General features: G+C 45.8%; 1 long non-coding RNA gene across 1 annotated transcript, besides 1 other annotated feature; it reads left to right on the forward strand.

The window, feature by feature from the left end:
• Window positions 1-1,355: 1,355 nt before the first annotated feature.
• Window positions 1,356-3,595, forward strand: LINC02314 (long intergenic non-protein coding RNA 2314). The gene is made up of 2 exons (NR_135240.1): window positions 1,356-1,537; window positions 3,262-3,595. It is a non-coding gene; the product is annotated as a long intergenic non-protein coding RNA 2314 (long non-coding RNA).
• Window positions 12,959-14,158: an enhancer, noted in NCBI's record as "CDK7 strongly-dependent group 2 enhancer chr14:101920016-101921215 (GRCh37/hg19 assembly coordinates)". NCBI's record gives its function as "activates an origin of replication core promoter dependent on BRD2, BRD4, P300/CBP, MED14 and CDK7 cofactors, with strong dependence on CDK7, by STARR-seq in HCT116 cells {active_cell/tissue: HCT116}" and the evidence as "EXISTENCE:reporter gene assay evidence [ECO:0000049][PMID:35650434]".

Below are 16,523 nucleotides of genomic sequence, written 5' to 3' on the forward strand. Positions count from 1 at the left end.
GCCTTAGGCAGTTAACATGCAAGCAAAGATAAGATGCCTTCGGCAGGGGAGGCTATGACAACCAACGAGAAAAATGGAAAAACACCAATTGGATGGGTCTGCAGTTGATCACTTGCTCTTCCTTGGTCAAGTTCATGAGCCTGTCTCCTGTTTCGAGGATACATGCTTTTATAAATGTTAAATAAGCTAACACTGCTGAAAGGGCATTGCTAATGGAGGTCTGTGGAAATAGAGGGAAATATTTCTAATTAGAAGGTATGGATTGGGCACTCACTGTGTGCCAAGCACTACAGTGGACCCTGAAATGAGTCAGCCACAGACTCGGTCCTCCAAGATCCCCGCTCCTCCAGCTCCATTCATTTTAGCCCGATGCAATGAGGCTTCTTTCTGCCTTCAGGAATTGCTTGGGCAATGGTTCCCAGGACCTTCTGACTCAGAGGATTCCACAGACTTTTCAGCCCTTTCTTCTGGGAGGTCTCCGTGGCCTTCCCACCACTGCCTCAGTCTTGTGGTGGTGCCGCTCCCCATGGGGGCTTCTCCCACCCTCCCGGCTGCTCCTCCCCCACCTCCTGAGCCCACCTCTAGAGGCTGGGTCATCTCGGGCTGTTCCTGCGGTCTCTTCTGCTCTCTAAATACCCACTGTCCAGGAACGCCCACCCTGCGGTGGCCTCAGCTCCCACCTACAAGCCCAGGACTTTTCTCCCAAGTCCTAATCTTATTAAATATGCTGCCTGCCTGCAGGCTGTATTCACCAGCCATCTTCTCGCCTTCGCCCAGGAGTTGATACCACCACTGAGAGGGCACTGCCAAGCACCTATGCAGGGAGGCCCGGGTCCCTCTGGGCCCTGTCCGGGCCACATCCTCAGCATTTCTCTCCGTCTCAACAGCTCAAGCCCTGTGGTACCTCTTGCTGAGCCTCTGGGGTTCTCCCAGAAGGCCAGCCCCACCCTCGTCTGACCCCACAGTCCTGCCTCTCCAGTGCGGCTAGACTGTCTTCCCCAGCTGACGCCCATCTGCGGTTCCCCACGGCCAGTCTCAACAGTCTCCTGCCTGCACCCACTCCTCAGCCTTCTCCATTGGAGGCTCCCCTCCTCAGACACACAGGCCTGTCTGCTGCCCCATCGTCTCTGCGCAGGCTGCTCTCTCGGTGTCCCTGGCCCATGCCCACTCCACGCTCCAGGGCTCAGCCTCCTCTCCCGCTCTCCACCCCACCCTTCGTCTCCTGCCCTCCACCCCACCCCTCCTTTCCCGCCCTCCACCACACCCCTCCTCTCGGGCTCCTGGGCACCCCCCCGCCACCTGCGTCTCCTGTCGTCAGCAAAATGCACTATTTGCTCATCCAGTGCCCACAGTTTGCCCACCGGACGGCCCTGCTAGGTGGGAAGCTCCTTGCAGGCAGGAACCCCATCTCCTTGACTTTACTTTGGAATCCCCGCAGCCTCATACGGGGCTGAGGCAGGTCCTTCCGTAAAATGGAACTGAATGAGCGGCGCTTAATCCATCCGCCAAAGGCCAGTCTCCCTTGGGTTTTCAACAGGTAACATGAGCTTTTAAAAATGAGTCTTGTTAAATGAAGTGCCCTGATTTTCAAAGTTATGCCCACACAGAACGACAGGGCAGGGGCTCCCTTCCAGAATGACAGAGCCCTGGGGCTCGTCTGACCACTTCTCCACCCCCAGATTCCTCTCATCACCCGATGCCTTTACTTTGGGACTCTTCCAGGTCGTTCCTCACCTCGTGCAGCATTGCTGTGAGTGGGCGACAAGGAACCTCGTGGTCTCCGTGTGCTTTGCGGGGACCACCTCTTCGCAGGGGCCGCCACCTGCCTCTCCGGCGCTGCATCCTTAGCATCCCCACTGCCCCCGGATCTCCTTCAGGGAGGTGCGGCGGCAGAGCGGCCCCAGCAGCCTCCTCCTGTGGCCCAGGCGCACCAAGGCGAGCGCGGCCACGAGTTCCGGCCCAGCGCCACCCAGACTCTTTGATGTGGGTTTGTGTGTGGGAGAGTAAAAGATGCACACACCCTCCGCAAGTCTAGAATTTGTGGTTTTTGTTATCTCACAACTTCATATTTGGAAGAAGTATTTTAATGTCTTATGAGTTGTGAATAATTATGTAATTCTGCCACTTTCTCAAAACCAAGATTTTTCAAACGGACTGCTCTAGTCTGGAGCTGACATCCTTAAGAGAACTTTGCTTTTTTTCCTGTGGGTTTTAAGCAAGAGTGTGCCAAATGAATTCTTTCGTCCGCTTAAAACAGTTCATTAGGGGGAACCATCCTGTAAAAGGAAAGGAAAGGAAAGGAAAATCCTTCCTTCTTCAAATGAATTCTCAAAAATTACTTCTGAGATGCAAATGCTGCCTGAGTGTTTGAGCTCCGTGAGAGAGTCCACTTCCCAACTTGTTTTCAGTCTGCTGTTGGGTGCTACTGAATTTCTTAAACATTGTGTTTCTCCCTTATCTGTGAATTAGCCATGTGTTCTTTGGAATCTCTTCCTGGGTCTTCGTTATTCTTCCTCAGTTATTTAAGAACCTAGGGAAGGCCCGGCGTGGTGGCTCACGCCTGTAATCCCAGTACTTTGGGAGGCCGAAGCGGGCGGATCACCTGAGGCCGGGAGTTTGAGACCGGCCTGACCGACATGGAGAATCTAAAAATGCAAAATTAGCCGGGCGTGGTGGCGGGCGCCTGTAATCCCAGCTACTCGGGAGACTGAGGCAAGAGAATCGCTTAAACCTGGGAGGCGGAGGTTGCAGTGAGCCGAGATTGCGCCATTGCATTCCAGCCTGGGCAACAAGAGCGAGACTCCGTTAAAAAAAAAAAAAAAAGAAAAGAAAAAGAAAAAACCCTAGGGAAAGGGTCACGAAGACTGCATCATCAAATGACACCATGAACTCCTCAAGGGTCTACCCATTGTTTTAACTTACTGCCCAAAAGGTACTTCTCATTCGAATAGCCCCCATTCTACAGTCATCTCTATCAATCATCATGTCACTTGATCATGACATCGTTCTAAGCACCTGTAACATCCCAGACCCTGTCTGAAGCACCAGGAATGCTGGGTGAGCGGGACAGAAGGGACCACAGATCCTCACGTTGCCTTATCAAGTTTAGACTCTAGTGGTCCCGATGGCTGATCTCATGACATTCAAATAGGAGGCGATCATTTCCTTAAATACAAACACGAGATTGTCAATAGTTAGGATGTGCTTATTTTTCCTCCAGGGCATAAGATTTTTTTTCTTGTATGTATTTCATATCCCTAGCTGGAGAAATATCAAAAGAATCTGAATATCACCATCTGGAAGTTGTGCCATGGACTCCAGTGGGCAGGATTCGAGCTGGGATTCTCTTCTTCCTCTAGCAGTGTATTTCTTCTGCTTAAAATGAGCACAAACACATCTAATTCCCTAATGGACCAACTCAGACCTAAAAGTCTCTTATTCTTTGCCCGCCTTCCTCTACCCACATGGATTCCTGGGATTCTCTAAATGCAGATGGCAATGGGGAGGGCTGGGGATTCCCATCAAGGATATTTGATCATCGGTGACTTCACTTAACCAATAAATCAAACGTGTTGAAATACACACATGTCAGAAATGTGGTATGCTGTTACTCACTCAAAAGTCTGTTGGTCTGTCTTGGTTGCGATTGGGCAATGAAGCCCTAGGGACTTATTTCGGCTTCAATAGTCTGTAACCCTCAATCAATATTTCGTTAAGTGTCAGTATTCATTCCTAGTATTTCCCCAAGTTTAACTTGTTCCTTTTGAAACGACTGGTATTCTTATGAGCCAGAAGACTGTTATTTGAAAATGTTTCCTTTTTTTTTTTTTTTTTTTTTTTTTTTTTTTTTTTGAGACGGAGTTTCACTCTTGTTGCCCAGGCTGGAGTGCAGTGGCACGATCTCGGCTCATTGCAACCTCCATCTCCCAGGTTCAAGTGATTCTCCTGCCTCAGCCTCCCGAGTGGCTGGGATTATAGGCACCCGCCACCATGCCCAGCTAATTTTTGTATTTTTAGTACAGACGGGGTTTCACCATGCTGGCCAGGCTGGTCTCGAACTCCTGACCTCAGGTGATCTGCCCGCCTTGGCCTCCCAAAGTGCTGGCATTACAGGCGTGAACCACCATGCCCGGCCAATGTTTCCTTTTTTAAACCTTCATTATATATCACTTTCACATTTAGAACTCTCTTCGCCTCCATCTAGAAATATTTTCGTTTTCTCTGGATGTGCTTCTGTCTCCCGCTGGACAAGCCTGGCACTCCGGGAAGAGGACCCTGTGTATCACGACACCTGGCACACAGAAGAAGCTCAATAGGCACTGAATGATTTTTTTTTAACATTGAAGTTGTTTTTAGCTCTCCCCTATTAGCCGTTAGTTAGCAGTTCACATTGTATGTGGAGTCTGTATTTATAATATAACATTAGTTCTGCCCTAAAATTCCACAGGACAAATTCCATTTGGAAACGTCCTCTAATTGTCATGCAGTGGTTCTGTTCAAACTGCGGGAACATTTCTAAATCCCACAGCTCTAACAGGCTGCCTGCCCATTACAGAAGGAGACTTCAGGCGGAAATTCAAAACACTTGCTACTGTGACATCTGCCCAGCAGTACTAATTTACATCCATTTGTATTTATTATTGTATAGTTTGGGATGTAATAAGATGCTGCCATCACCCCCACAAGCCTCTGGAATACTGAGGAGTGGTATTGCATGTCATGAAGCACGCAGGCTCTTCGAGTTTGACCTCTGCTTTGAATTCCCACTTGACCCAGGATGAGGAAGTCTGACTGAGCAGCGGTTTCCTCATCTGTAAAATGGGTATAACACCAGCACCTATCTTGCTGGATTGGCACCTGGAATAAATGAGAAAGCACAGGCCAAGCCCTCCAGCATTGGACACAGTCAGCATGTAATTAATGCTAGCTCTTCTTATTAAATTCCTTTAGCTTAAAGACAAAGTAATCAGAGACACTTACAGAATTACAGAAGAGTTTATCATGCCGTTCTCTTTGAGGAAAACAGTTAAGCAGTTTTAATCCATTTTATAATAATGTCTTACATAATCCTTACTCAGAGCTTTAATCAAAAAGGTTGTCTTTTAATAAACAAGATTCACATTTAGACTCTGTCTACACACACAAGCCAGTTTTAAATGTCACCCAGATTAAGTCAAACAACCGATAATTAACAATGTTTTACATGTAACTGGTTTTGTTTGTGGACCCAGTCCTAAACATTTTTTTACCAAGTAACCTTAAATATGTCATCAGATGGGTTTTTAGTAGACATATCTGAACCTAATTTTGTAGCTTAAAAATAGTATATTTTATTCACTTTTTTTAATATTAAATATGTAGGATATTTTAATACTTGGCCAATTCAAGTGTTGATAAGTAACATCTGTCAACATTTACAATATTATCTAGCTCAGTTATCCAGAATAAACTGAGAATCTTCTGGATTTTTAAAACAATTCTCAGGCCCTGATTTACTAGGAGAGTTTGGGAGGACCTTTATGCAGACAAACAACTCATAGTTTAAGTTGGCTTCCGCTCCTTTCTAACACAAAGATAACCGCGAGGTGGAAAAATATCACTTTGTGAAAACGACATCTTAGCAAAACAGATCTGTACAAGGCAGAACTGGACAAAATATGTTGATTCACATTACCACTGACTTATATCAGACATTCTATCATTTTATCTGCCTCGAGCATTTATCAAAGTAAACTGCTGCAGAGTGCAACTGCCTCCTTGTCGGCCGGGACAGGTGTTACCACATCTATCGCCTCGCCTGCTTGTAAATGGGGATAGCCCGTTCCTACAGCTAATCCTGGCAACACAAGCTCACCTTCACACAGCAGGATTGGGAGGCTCTGGAAGGTTCTAAGGCCAAAGACAGAGCCAGGTCTGCTTGGAAGCCATCTGTGATCCCCGTTCCTACCCCTCCACCTTGCTCATGCCTCCCTCTGCAGCGACCAGCCTGGCACCAAAACAGCACCTGCCAGGGGAACTTGAGGATTTGGCTGGCCTGGGGCTAGAGCTGTCCATTCCCACCAAGAGGAAGAGGCCCACAACCCCAGTGGCCTCTGAGGCCAGCAGAGCCTGTGGTGCCACAAGGGAACAGCCTGTGAGCCTGTCCTCCACTGCGCCCTGCGCTTCTGACTCAGACTAACACACCAGGATTTTCCATTTCAACAGCAGTGTCTGTGGTCCTCTTTTCTAAGTGAAAGAGTCCAAGCTAAGGTTGGCTAGAGGGATCCTTGCAGCTCCGGAGCAGGTGTAGGGCTGATACCAGCCCTCTGCTGTTATTTGACAGCTTGCAAAATGTACAAACTGGCCAGATACAGGTGTGTGCTTGCATGTGTGTGCATACACACACATATCTGAATATATATGTGTGTGTATCTACACATCATACTAATAAACTAATAACTTCCATGGGCAATAAATTTTCAAATTTCTTAAGGATTCAGATAAGGAGAATGTATATAATCAACACATTAATTATTATGCATACATAAACATACTAATACTCTTAATACGCCCTTTGAAAAAATATATTCAACCAGCTTAATTTTTCTAATTTTGTTTTTGTTAAATCCTGTTTTCTTATTAACTATTGATTGCTAAGCAGCAGGCAGTGTGCTAAGTATGTTACCTGGATTATCTGGTTAATCCTTCCAATAGCTACACGGTGAAGACACAGATGTCCACATCTTCTGCAGATAAGGAAACTGAGGGGTAATAATAAATAATTTGCACAACACAGCACAAAGCTGAGGAGCCAACACTGGACCTGACGAAGTCCCATTCTGGAAGCCAAACTCCCAACTGCTAAGCTCTGCTTGAATTCTCATTGAGCATCTCGCTTCTTAAAAGTTTCAACAACTCAGCAGTCTATAATCCAACTCGCCTTCTCCACAATGCCAAAAGGTAGAAGTGACACTTTCTTTTTTTTCTTTCTTTTTTTTTTTTTTTTTTGAGACAGAGTCTCATTCTGTCACCCAGGCTGGAATGCAGTGGCGCGATCTCAGCTCACTGCAACCTCTGCCTCCTGGGTTCAAGCGATTCTCCTACCTCAGCCTCCCAAGTAGCTGGGGCTACAGGCACACACCACCACACCTAGCTAATTTTTGTATTTTTAGTAAAGAGGGGGTTTCATCATGTTGGCCAGGATGGTCTCAATCTCTTGACCTTGTGATCCACCCGCCTCGGCCTCCGAAAGTGCTGGGATTACAGGCATGAACCACCAAGCCTGGCAGTGCTTTCTTATAAGGGAGGTGCTTTCCCTATCCATGAGGGTATTTAGGGAACCATATAAAAATATATATGTAAGTTGTATAATGGTAATTGATAGACATAACACAGTTAGTTAAAAATGGCGTCAAACAATAGAATAACTACTTTCCATCCTTCATAGATTCAATACTCATTTAGCTGAGGTTTATCATTGGCCAACATCAGGGTTGAGCTCTGGGAGGGAGAATAAAAAGTAGTAGGCACCCTCTTCTCCCCAAGAACTCACACTGATCATACAGATAAGATGTGTGTGGTATAACACTTGCTTTCCATGAAAATAAATTGATTAATCACATCGAAAATAGAGGAACAAATAATGAAAGTGTTTCTTAGGGCAAAAAATAAGAGCGCTGGGGGTTTTCATACCCTAAAGGTAGTCCTTTTTCTAACAACCAAAGAATTGGCCATGTCTACTCCTGACATATAGCCGTCCTCCTTTGCTACCAGGAATAAACAACAATTTGACTGAGCCAAATAGCAGATGCAATTTTGCATGAAGCTAGTAATACTGTTTATGCTTTACTATTTTTAATATGCTATAAAAACTATTTGTCTTTTCAAAAAAAAATTTTTTTTACAGATTTAATGCCACTGCCTTAACTTTAAACCAATGGGGTAGACATTTCTCCTTCTCTTTTCAGGGGCAAATTTTGGAATTATTTTAAAATCAGTCTGATGCCTCACACATCACGGCTGCTAAACTTGGGTATTTGTTTTTCAGTGCAATGAGCTTCATGCTGAATACTGATTTGAAGTGTGGTTCACCACACAGACTTAAATTGTCCTTCCCACAACTTTATCTGAGAAGCATGACAACGGTGACAATCACAGGACTAGTTTTATTGGGTAAGACTATTCTATGTGCAATTTATTCTGACAGGCTCCACAATTTTTAAGTGCAATTAAATCCTAAGAATTTGCCCAGAAAAAAAAAAGTCTACCACTTTTTAAAAAAAATTTTTTTTGAAGAAAGCAGAAAAAACAGTTGAATTGAACAACTAATTACTAACTGGTTGCTCTCTTGAAAAAAAAAAAAAGATATTTGACAGAGCCTCAAAATCGATTTCATTATCTAGACAGGCAACTTTCTGGGTCTGAGAAAGAGAAGGCTTCCAGGAGGTCTGCAGCCACCTGCTTCAGCCACTGCTGGTATCCACATCTTCAAAGCGGAGGTTTAGCCACACCCAGAGGGGGGAATAACACTTGCAGAAAACAACGCTCAGAAATTGGCGTCACCTGATTCCCCACAGCAGAGCAGACCAGCTGTCTCCTGTACAGGTGGAAGCAGCTTGCACGCTTCCTGCCATCCGCATGCTCACTCCTCCCTCACAGTCCCAGAAATGGAATCCCAAGAGGCCGCTCAGGCAAGCCAGATAGAGCCACCCATGTGATCAAGCATTCAGGGCATGAGGGCCCCCACTACCATGGCCCGGAAAATACATGCATCAACATGACTCATGTCATTTGCTTGCCCTTGGTGAATTTCACGTTGCATTTCTAACCCGAAGCTAGGGTCGCGATTGTCTGGGGCGTAGAGTCCCTACCACTTCTAGGTATTCCACATTCCCAGTCTCTATTCAACAAGAGGCTAGGCTGACACTGAAGCAGCTATCCAGGTTATTCTTCAGAAATCAGATATTTTTAAAGTGATGCCAAGTTACACCTAACATCATAGAATATTCTCTTCATGTGAACTTAATTCAGTAGAAAACATCTTCGGCCAGACACCTGCAGCTGGCATAATCTGGCTATCTGGTGCCTGCTGCTCCCTCTACCCTTGCTGCTGCCCCGACCTGCCCCATACCCCAGCCCCCATTGGGGTCGACGGTTTCCCAGAGATACTCAGCCTTTTGGTGCTCCTCTCTCCTCCTGGTATACCCCATGCATTAAGCATTGATCCTCCCATCTTGTGTGCCCCCAAGACATCTACCACTGTTAACACTAAAATGGCCTTGCCTGTCTCACCCAATTTGGCTCCGAACTCATTGAGGACCACCTTACACACTCCCCAGCACCTCACACAGTTACTGGTACAGAGCAGGCTCCCGGGGATGTTTGCTGAAGGTCTTTTTTTCCCTTCTGAGCTGCTAAAACAACAGGCATTAAACAGTCACCTGGGCCACATTGTTGCTGTGAAATGTCCTTCTCTGCAGATCGTAAGCCCCGTGACGTGATGGCAGAAACCGCGCCCTCCTTTTGTGCCCTAATACCTGGGCCAGTGCTCTGGGCCTATTAGATGCCAATAAATGTTTCTTGAATAAATGAATTAAAGACAATACTGATACAGACATCCTGAGAGAAAGCCGAAAAGGTCTAAAAATGAAGGCATTCCAACATCCATGTGCACAGAACATTGGGAAAGCTGTCCATCAGCGTCTCTCTTTTGTGACTTCCTATTAAGGTGCTCCGCAGAACTTGAACTGACCTATTGCAGTACAGCACAGTACTAGGGACACAGGCCAGGTGGAAAGAGATTACTTCATCTGCTTGCCATGCAAAGCAGGGCTGAGGATCCGAGGCCTCAACATGGAGAGTGGGACCCCAGGGCCCTCACCCCTCCCTTCTCAGGCCATTTGTTCCTTTTTCCTGGATGACCACCTCCCACCTGTCACCCCCTGCCTTTGCCTTCCACTTGGCCAATGCTAAATCACCCTCTCAGACTCATCTCAGGTACCACCTCTCCAAGGACGCGTTCCCTGACCCCTCTGGGCCTGGCCTGGTGTGAATGCATACTATACTGTTACCCTCACTGGACAGAGACACTCTCTTCCTTTTTTTTTTTTTTTCAGACAGGGCCTCACTCTGTCGCCCAGGCTGGCGTGCAGTGGTGCGAACCTCCACCTCCCAGGTTCAAGTGATTCTCCTGCCTCAGCCTCCCAAGTAGCTGGGACTATAGGTGTGCTGCCACCACATCCAGCTAATTTTTGTATTTTTAGTAGAGACAGGGTTCCTCTATGTTGGCCAGGCTGGTCTTGAACTCCTGACCTCATGTGATCCTCCCACCTCAGCCTCCCAAAGTGCTAAGATTACAGGTGTGAGCAGCCACGCCAGGCCTGGTCACTTCCTTTCTGAGTATCTCCACCGCTACTGAGTGAGGACCTTGAGCAGTGCCAGGATTTGCTGTTGCTCCTGCCTCCCACCCTCTCTTGAATCCTGCTCCCTTTCCCCCTGCCTGGGCCTTTGCCACTTCCCCAGATTTTAATTATGCAAAATTAAATAGCTGCTTCATAGGCGAACAGCTGGATACAACACCTTGCAGTCTTCAGGGGAAATGGTGCAAGCATAAAAAACAGGAAGAGCAATTTAAGATTAAAATACTGCTTTGAGGCTGGTGTGGGCACTGTCTCCAACAGAGGCTGACACTTGCCTGCTGGATTTAAACCTGCCCATGGTCAGGCATCAAGCCCCCCATGCCAGGCCTAGGGGAGACAGAGGAGGTGAGATGGCCACACCCTCAGCCACCTTTCCTACTACTTTTGGCAGCTCCACGATTGGCACCAGAATGGCACTTATTGGAGGGTTTTCTCCCTCGCAGCCCTCCTAAGAATCGCCTGCTGCCTTTCCTCCTACCCATTCTAACCCTTCAAACCCAGGGGATGCTGGGCTTCCGACCCTCTTCCCCTTTTATAAGTGTAAGGTGCTATCCCTGGGAGGCCAATGCTGTTGGCTGCACACTTATAGAACCCCAAGTTATTTCCAGGACCCCCTAAAAATGTGCAATGCTGAAACAGGACTGTTTTACTTTGAGCACCAGATGAATTCTGGAACAGTCAGGTGCAAAACTGAATCCTGGCATGGCGAATCATCTTCCCCATGGCTTCCATTTTAATTTCAGAAGTGCATTAGTGGAGGCTGAGAACTTGCATCCAACACAACATGAAATCTAATGAGGAATTCCGACATTGCCTGAGAGTGCACACAGCCCATGTGCATTTCATTTGCCTGTATGTGCCCTATAAAAAATTCAACCACTTTGGGAGGCCGAGATGGGCGGATCACGAGGTCAAGAGATTGAGACCATCCTGGCTAACAGGGTGAAACCCCGTCTCTACTAAAAATACAAAAAATTAGCTGGTCGTGGTGGCAGGTGCCTGTAGTCCCAGCTACTCAGGAGGCTGAGGCAGGAGAAGGGCGTGAACCTGGGAGGTGGAGCCTGCAGTGAGCCAAGATCGCGCCACTGCACTCCAGCCTGGGCGACTGAGCAAGACTCTGTCTCAAAGAAAAAAAAAAAAAAAATTCAACCAAATTCAAACGCACCATCTTTTATAATAAAAATCTCTCTAATATTTAAAATGTACATCATACTCCCATTTAAATCACAATGCTTACTATTTTTACCCAAAGTGCTTCTATTTCTTGAAAGAGCTGATGTTTACTAGAATTGAACATGGGTCATGCAAGAAGCACTGAGTCAAGATTGGCTGGGACTGCGGAATCCTCTCTCTCCTGCAGGAATCCCATCCACACGCTCCTGGTTCACTTTCATCATCTGAAGGACCTCTTCGTACCTAGATTCTACTTGTTATGTGCAGTTTATTTTGGTTCTAAAGGTCAGAGGCAAATATTAATAAAGGCATTTGCAGCCTTTTAAGCTTGGAAGATATTCCTGGCAGGGCGAGGGGCAAGACATGGCATCAGAGGTCATTCACCATCCCCGGCACTGTGTCCCGCCGGCCACAGGACCCCTGCATTCACTCCCTTACCTAGTAGTAGGATATATGGAAATTAGCCTGGGAAATGTTGTATGTTAGCATAGTTCATGTTTAATATACTAAAGCATGGCCTTTAGTCCATAAGGTTTTATGAATTACCCGAACATATACAAGCATTCTTTAAACAAATAACACTTAAATACCAGAGCGACAATTAAAACTGACCAATGGAAAGGATCTGGAAGGCCCTGGAACAAGTGCCTTTTCTTTTTTGTTGTTTTTGGGTTTGTTTGTTTTTGAGGGAAACAGGAGAGGCTCTGAAATCCAAGTCTACGGTCTCTTACATGAAAGTGCAAAACTCCAAAAAGCTCTAAAAACCAAAAGTTGTTACTCAAATTTTGCAACCCACCCTGACATGCGGATATCTAAGGTCTTCCTGTCACTCCACTTAGAGTGACCATTCCTATGTTCACTATCCAAATGCCCATGCAATTGGGAAGAAAGGAATCCCAGGCTGGAGAAGTCTAGAATATCCCATTACAGTCTTGATACTGTATTCATTTTCTATTGAAAGAAAAAAAAAATCTCAATTCTGAAAAACATCCAACCACGCAGGTTTTGCAGACTGGTACTATTAGAGTCTGACATAAACAGGGGCCTGGCATGTAATTAAGTGAGAAGGTACCCAAGCTACATTGAAGAAGGACGGTGACTCGCAGGGTTAAAACTGAGAGCCTGGCTCTGATCCAAAGCTGTGTTTAAAGACGTGCAAACATACCACACCGGTTCACCGATCATCAGCCGAAGCTCCAATATCAATTCTGTGTTAAACCATCAATCTAAAGTGGATATTTTTGTTATTTTGTTTATCTTTTTTCCCCCATCAGGACACCCAGTGAACCAATTTCAAATGACACCTGAACCTACATATTTTTCTTAAACTACTGAACTGGAACAAAATCAAAACATCAAAATATTCTCCAAAAGTGGCGGGAATGGAATCGGGATTTCATTTCGGTTTAAGTCCCAGGTTGAAAAGACACAAGATGGTCAGGTCATCTCATGGATGGAAAGAGCTTAAACCACCCACCCATTTTTGAAACCTTGACCTCGAGAAGAAAGAGAGAAAGCTTTTAAGTTTTTAAAACAGCTGGAAAATCATACCATCTGTGCATTTTTACCCAGCCATACTCCAAACCCAGCTCTCTATTTTATATACCTGTTTTTTTCTTGTGATTATCTCACTGTTCCTTGCAAGAATGAGCCGATAATTTGATACTCCAGAGGGAAGTTCAATTTCTCAGCTGAAGATGAAGACTCAGGGGTGGCCTCCTTCAGGAATTGTAAAGTTCAGGGGAGAACGGCAATCCATTTTTATATGCTAATACTTTGTATTTAGTTAATTTGATTAAGTGGTAGGAAATGATACCTTGCTCGTAGATGGATCGTTCGCACATTTGCAGTAAAACCTAAATGCCAAATTTTCCTCCTTCAAGTTCTTGAGAGAGTTATTTTCATCACTTTCATTTCTTCCTGTACCACAGCCATTGCTCATCTCTTTGTTCCCTGAAGAGCTTTAAAAGTAGCTGTGTTCATGTCATTTTTATCTTGTTACTTTAATCATGTGCTTATTGACAAGAGCGGAATTTGTCATCCTCTTCCAAGCAAGCCCTGTCACCAGTTTTTCAGCGTGATTCAGCATAAGTCATGCTCCCCTGAGGAAGGGACACTAACCCAACCCACCCAGGAACACAAGGACGTCACTGGAGAGGAACTTTTCCCAAAATCCCCAGGACCTGCCTTGGTGCAGGGCAACTTCAAAGGAGAGGGTCTTGTGTGACCAGGAACAGATAACCTGAGGAGGCATCATCCTTTCCAGGAGCCTTCGCCATGACATGGCAGCACTGTTAGAATGTCTTGTTTGTTTCTCCAGAGTCTGTTCCTTTTCTTAGGCAAGTCCAGAATATCCAAAGCAGACAGAACTGTTTGGATTTCTGGATTTGCTTTTGTTTGTGTTTTCTCTACTTTCTATTGCAGTCCAACTGAGTCACATTCATTTTTTAAACAACTTAAGATTCCATGTCATTTAAATAGTGTTATGTTGTTTGAGAAAGTCCAGTGGCAGGTCCGGTGAGTTCAGTGAAGAAGCATGCCCACTGCTGGCCTGTGGCTTCGGTGAACGGGTGCATTCTTTTTTTTTTTAAGACAAAGTCTTGCTCTGGCACCCTGGCTGGAGTGCAGTGGCACTATCTTGGCTCACTGCAACCTCTGCCTCCCAGTTCAAGTGATTCTCCAGCCTCAGCCTCCTGAGTAGCTGGGATTACAGGCATGCATCACCACGCCCAGCTAATTTTTTTATTTTTAGTAGAGACAGGGTTTCACCATCTTGGCCAGGCTGGTCTCGAACTCTTGACCTCAGGTGATCCGCCCGCCTCCACCTCCCAAAGTGCTGAACGGGCGCATTCTTAACTGTGTTTCTCCTTCCGACTTGCTGAAATATGAGTGATTTATAACTCAGCATCCTATTGACTGACGGATGGCCTGGTTTCTGTGTGCTGGGTGCTGACAGAGCCCCCAGAAGTGCGTAAAATGATACTTGCTCACCAGGGGTTCCCATTATTTTCTCCTCAACCAGAAACATTCCCAGAGACATGCCACACAGTGAGAAATAAACATGGTGCAATAAAACACAGACGGTACCGCGAGGATCCTCTGTGAGGAGCAAGAGGTGGAGACAGTCCCAGGGGAGTCCACAGTGGGTGGGGTCAAAGTGGGTCTGAGTGGTGATGGGAGAGCTGGGTCTGAGAGGTGCCATCTGGACAGGTGGAAAGAAGGGTGGAAGGCATTTCAAGCAGGGAAAAGGAGGTAAGGGAAGCCCAGAGACAGTGGGGGAAAGGCTGGTTAGGGAGTCAGGGAAGAACTCAGTGCAGTCAAGGAGGAGGATTTTGAAGGCAGGGCTGAGAAGTGCCTGAGGTTGGATGTGGAGTTGGGAGTCTTGACCTTTCCCACCCAGGCCTTGATGTATCCCAGCTGAGAAGATGCAAGGTCAGCAGGCAGGCTAGGGTGGCAGATGGACACAAAACCAGAGACCAGGGACCAAGGAGTAGATCCCTGCGACAGCAGGACCAGGACAGGCAATGAAATTTGAGAAAAATTTCAAAATAATTGATGACTAAGAGAAAGCAGTCTAAACTCCAATATTCAGTTTTTGCACACCTATCTTTAATGATCTCCTTACAGTTAGAAAACAGTCCATTTTCCCCATAATCGGTAGTCGTTTCATTAGCATCTAAATTATAATTCCTTAATTATAAGCCTATCACCTATTCTGCTTTCCAAAAATTAATCCAGAAGCTGTCAAATACAAACTTATGTTTAATAAAATGAACATCTGTGATCACACACCAGGAGCAAAATCCTAATTGTTCTAAACCCGGCACTTTGCTTTGACAACCAAGTACCTTTTTTTTAAATACTTTATTTCTTTAAAACACCTGCTTTCTTTACATACTGACTTTTAAAGGAAGAGATTAAATTTTATTGGCAGGAACAGAAGTTAGTCTCTAAAATAGCAAAGGAAGAACTATGCTTTATAGAAAAGTTGCCTGCTACATTAAAAATAAACCAGAATATGAATCAAAATCCACAAATCCAACAGGGGCCAATCCCCAATTTTCCCACAAAGAGAGCCGACAGTCTGATAACCTCAGCTCTTTGGAATTAGGCTGTTGGTGGCGGCTGCAGTCCTTGTTCCGATGGTAGCCGCACCACCCCAGCCCAGGATGGCTGTATTTCCATTAGAATTGGCTGTCCTGCCCTCTCTGCCTTCGCCACCCCCCTTCGCCCAAGTCCGGTTATTCAGTGAGTTATAATTTGGCACTAAAACTCAATTAAGCTGAAACGTTGGTCATACGTGGTGTTTTTCCCAGCAAAGCATAATTTCTTTGACCCATTTTCCAAATGTCAGTAGATCGATTTTAAAGCACAGAGAGGTAAAAGTTTGTTTAAAAATCCAGCTCGCATTTCTAGAAACTGGCTGGAATTTTTTTTTTTTAATTTCAAATAAACAGTCAGGATGTGGTGTTACTATATTAAAGCGCTTCAAGTTTTCATAGCGCTCGTCAAACAGAGACCTCGGAACGCTCTGCAGACATTAATTAATGTTCGCTCCGGCCCTGGAAGCCATTTCACCAATGGAAATTCCGATGAGAAAGGAAGAAACGAGGGGTTCAAGGCCGCGCCGTTGTGAGTCCGCTGCGGAACTAGGAACTGAAACCCCGTGGTTCCCAATGAGCCAGCGAAAGTCTGTCGAAGTATTGAGCACCCCTATTGAAGACTGTGGGAGTTTTGGCGGCTTAATGGGATTGTGTTCGGTCCTTCAGGCTCTCCTTTAAAAGATTCCATGGCACCAACGAGACTCCAATAAAAGGGCCTCTCTAATTGCTTTCTGACTTTCTATGAAACTTTCTAAGCTATGCTGACATCCTCGAATACAACTATGGAATTAAAGAGGAGAGAAAGGCGAGGCACAGTGGGTGCGCAAAGAAAAAGAGGTTCTCAGCGGAG

The sequence above is a fragment of the Homo sapiens genome, chromosome 14 (genome assembly GCF_000001405.40).
Source record: "Homo sapiens chromosome 14, GRCh38.p14 Primary Assembly".
NCBI lineage: Eukaryota > Metazoa > Chordata > Mammalia > Primates > Hominidae > Homo > Homo sapiens.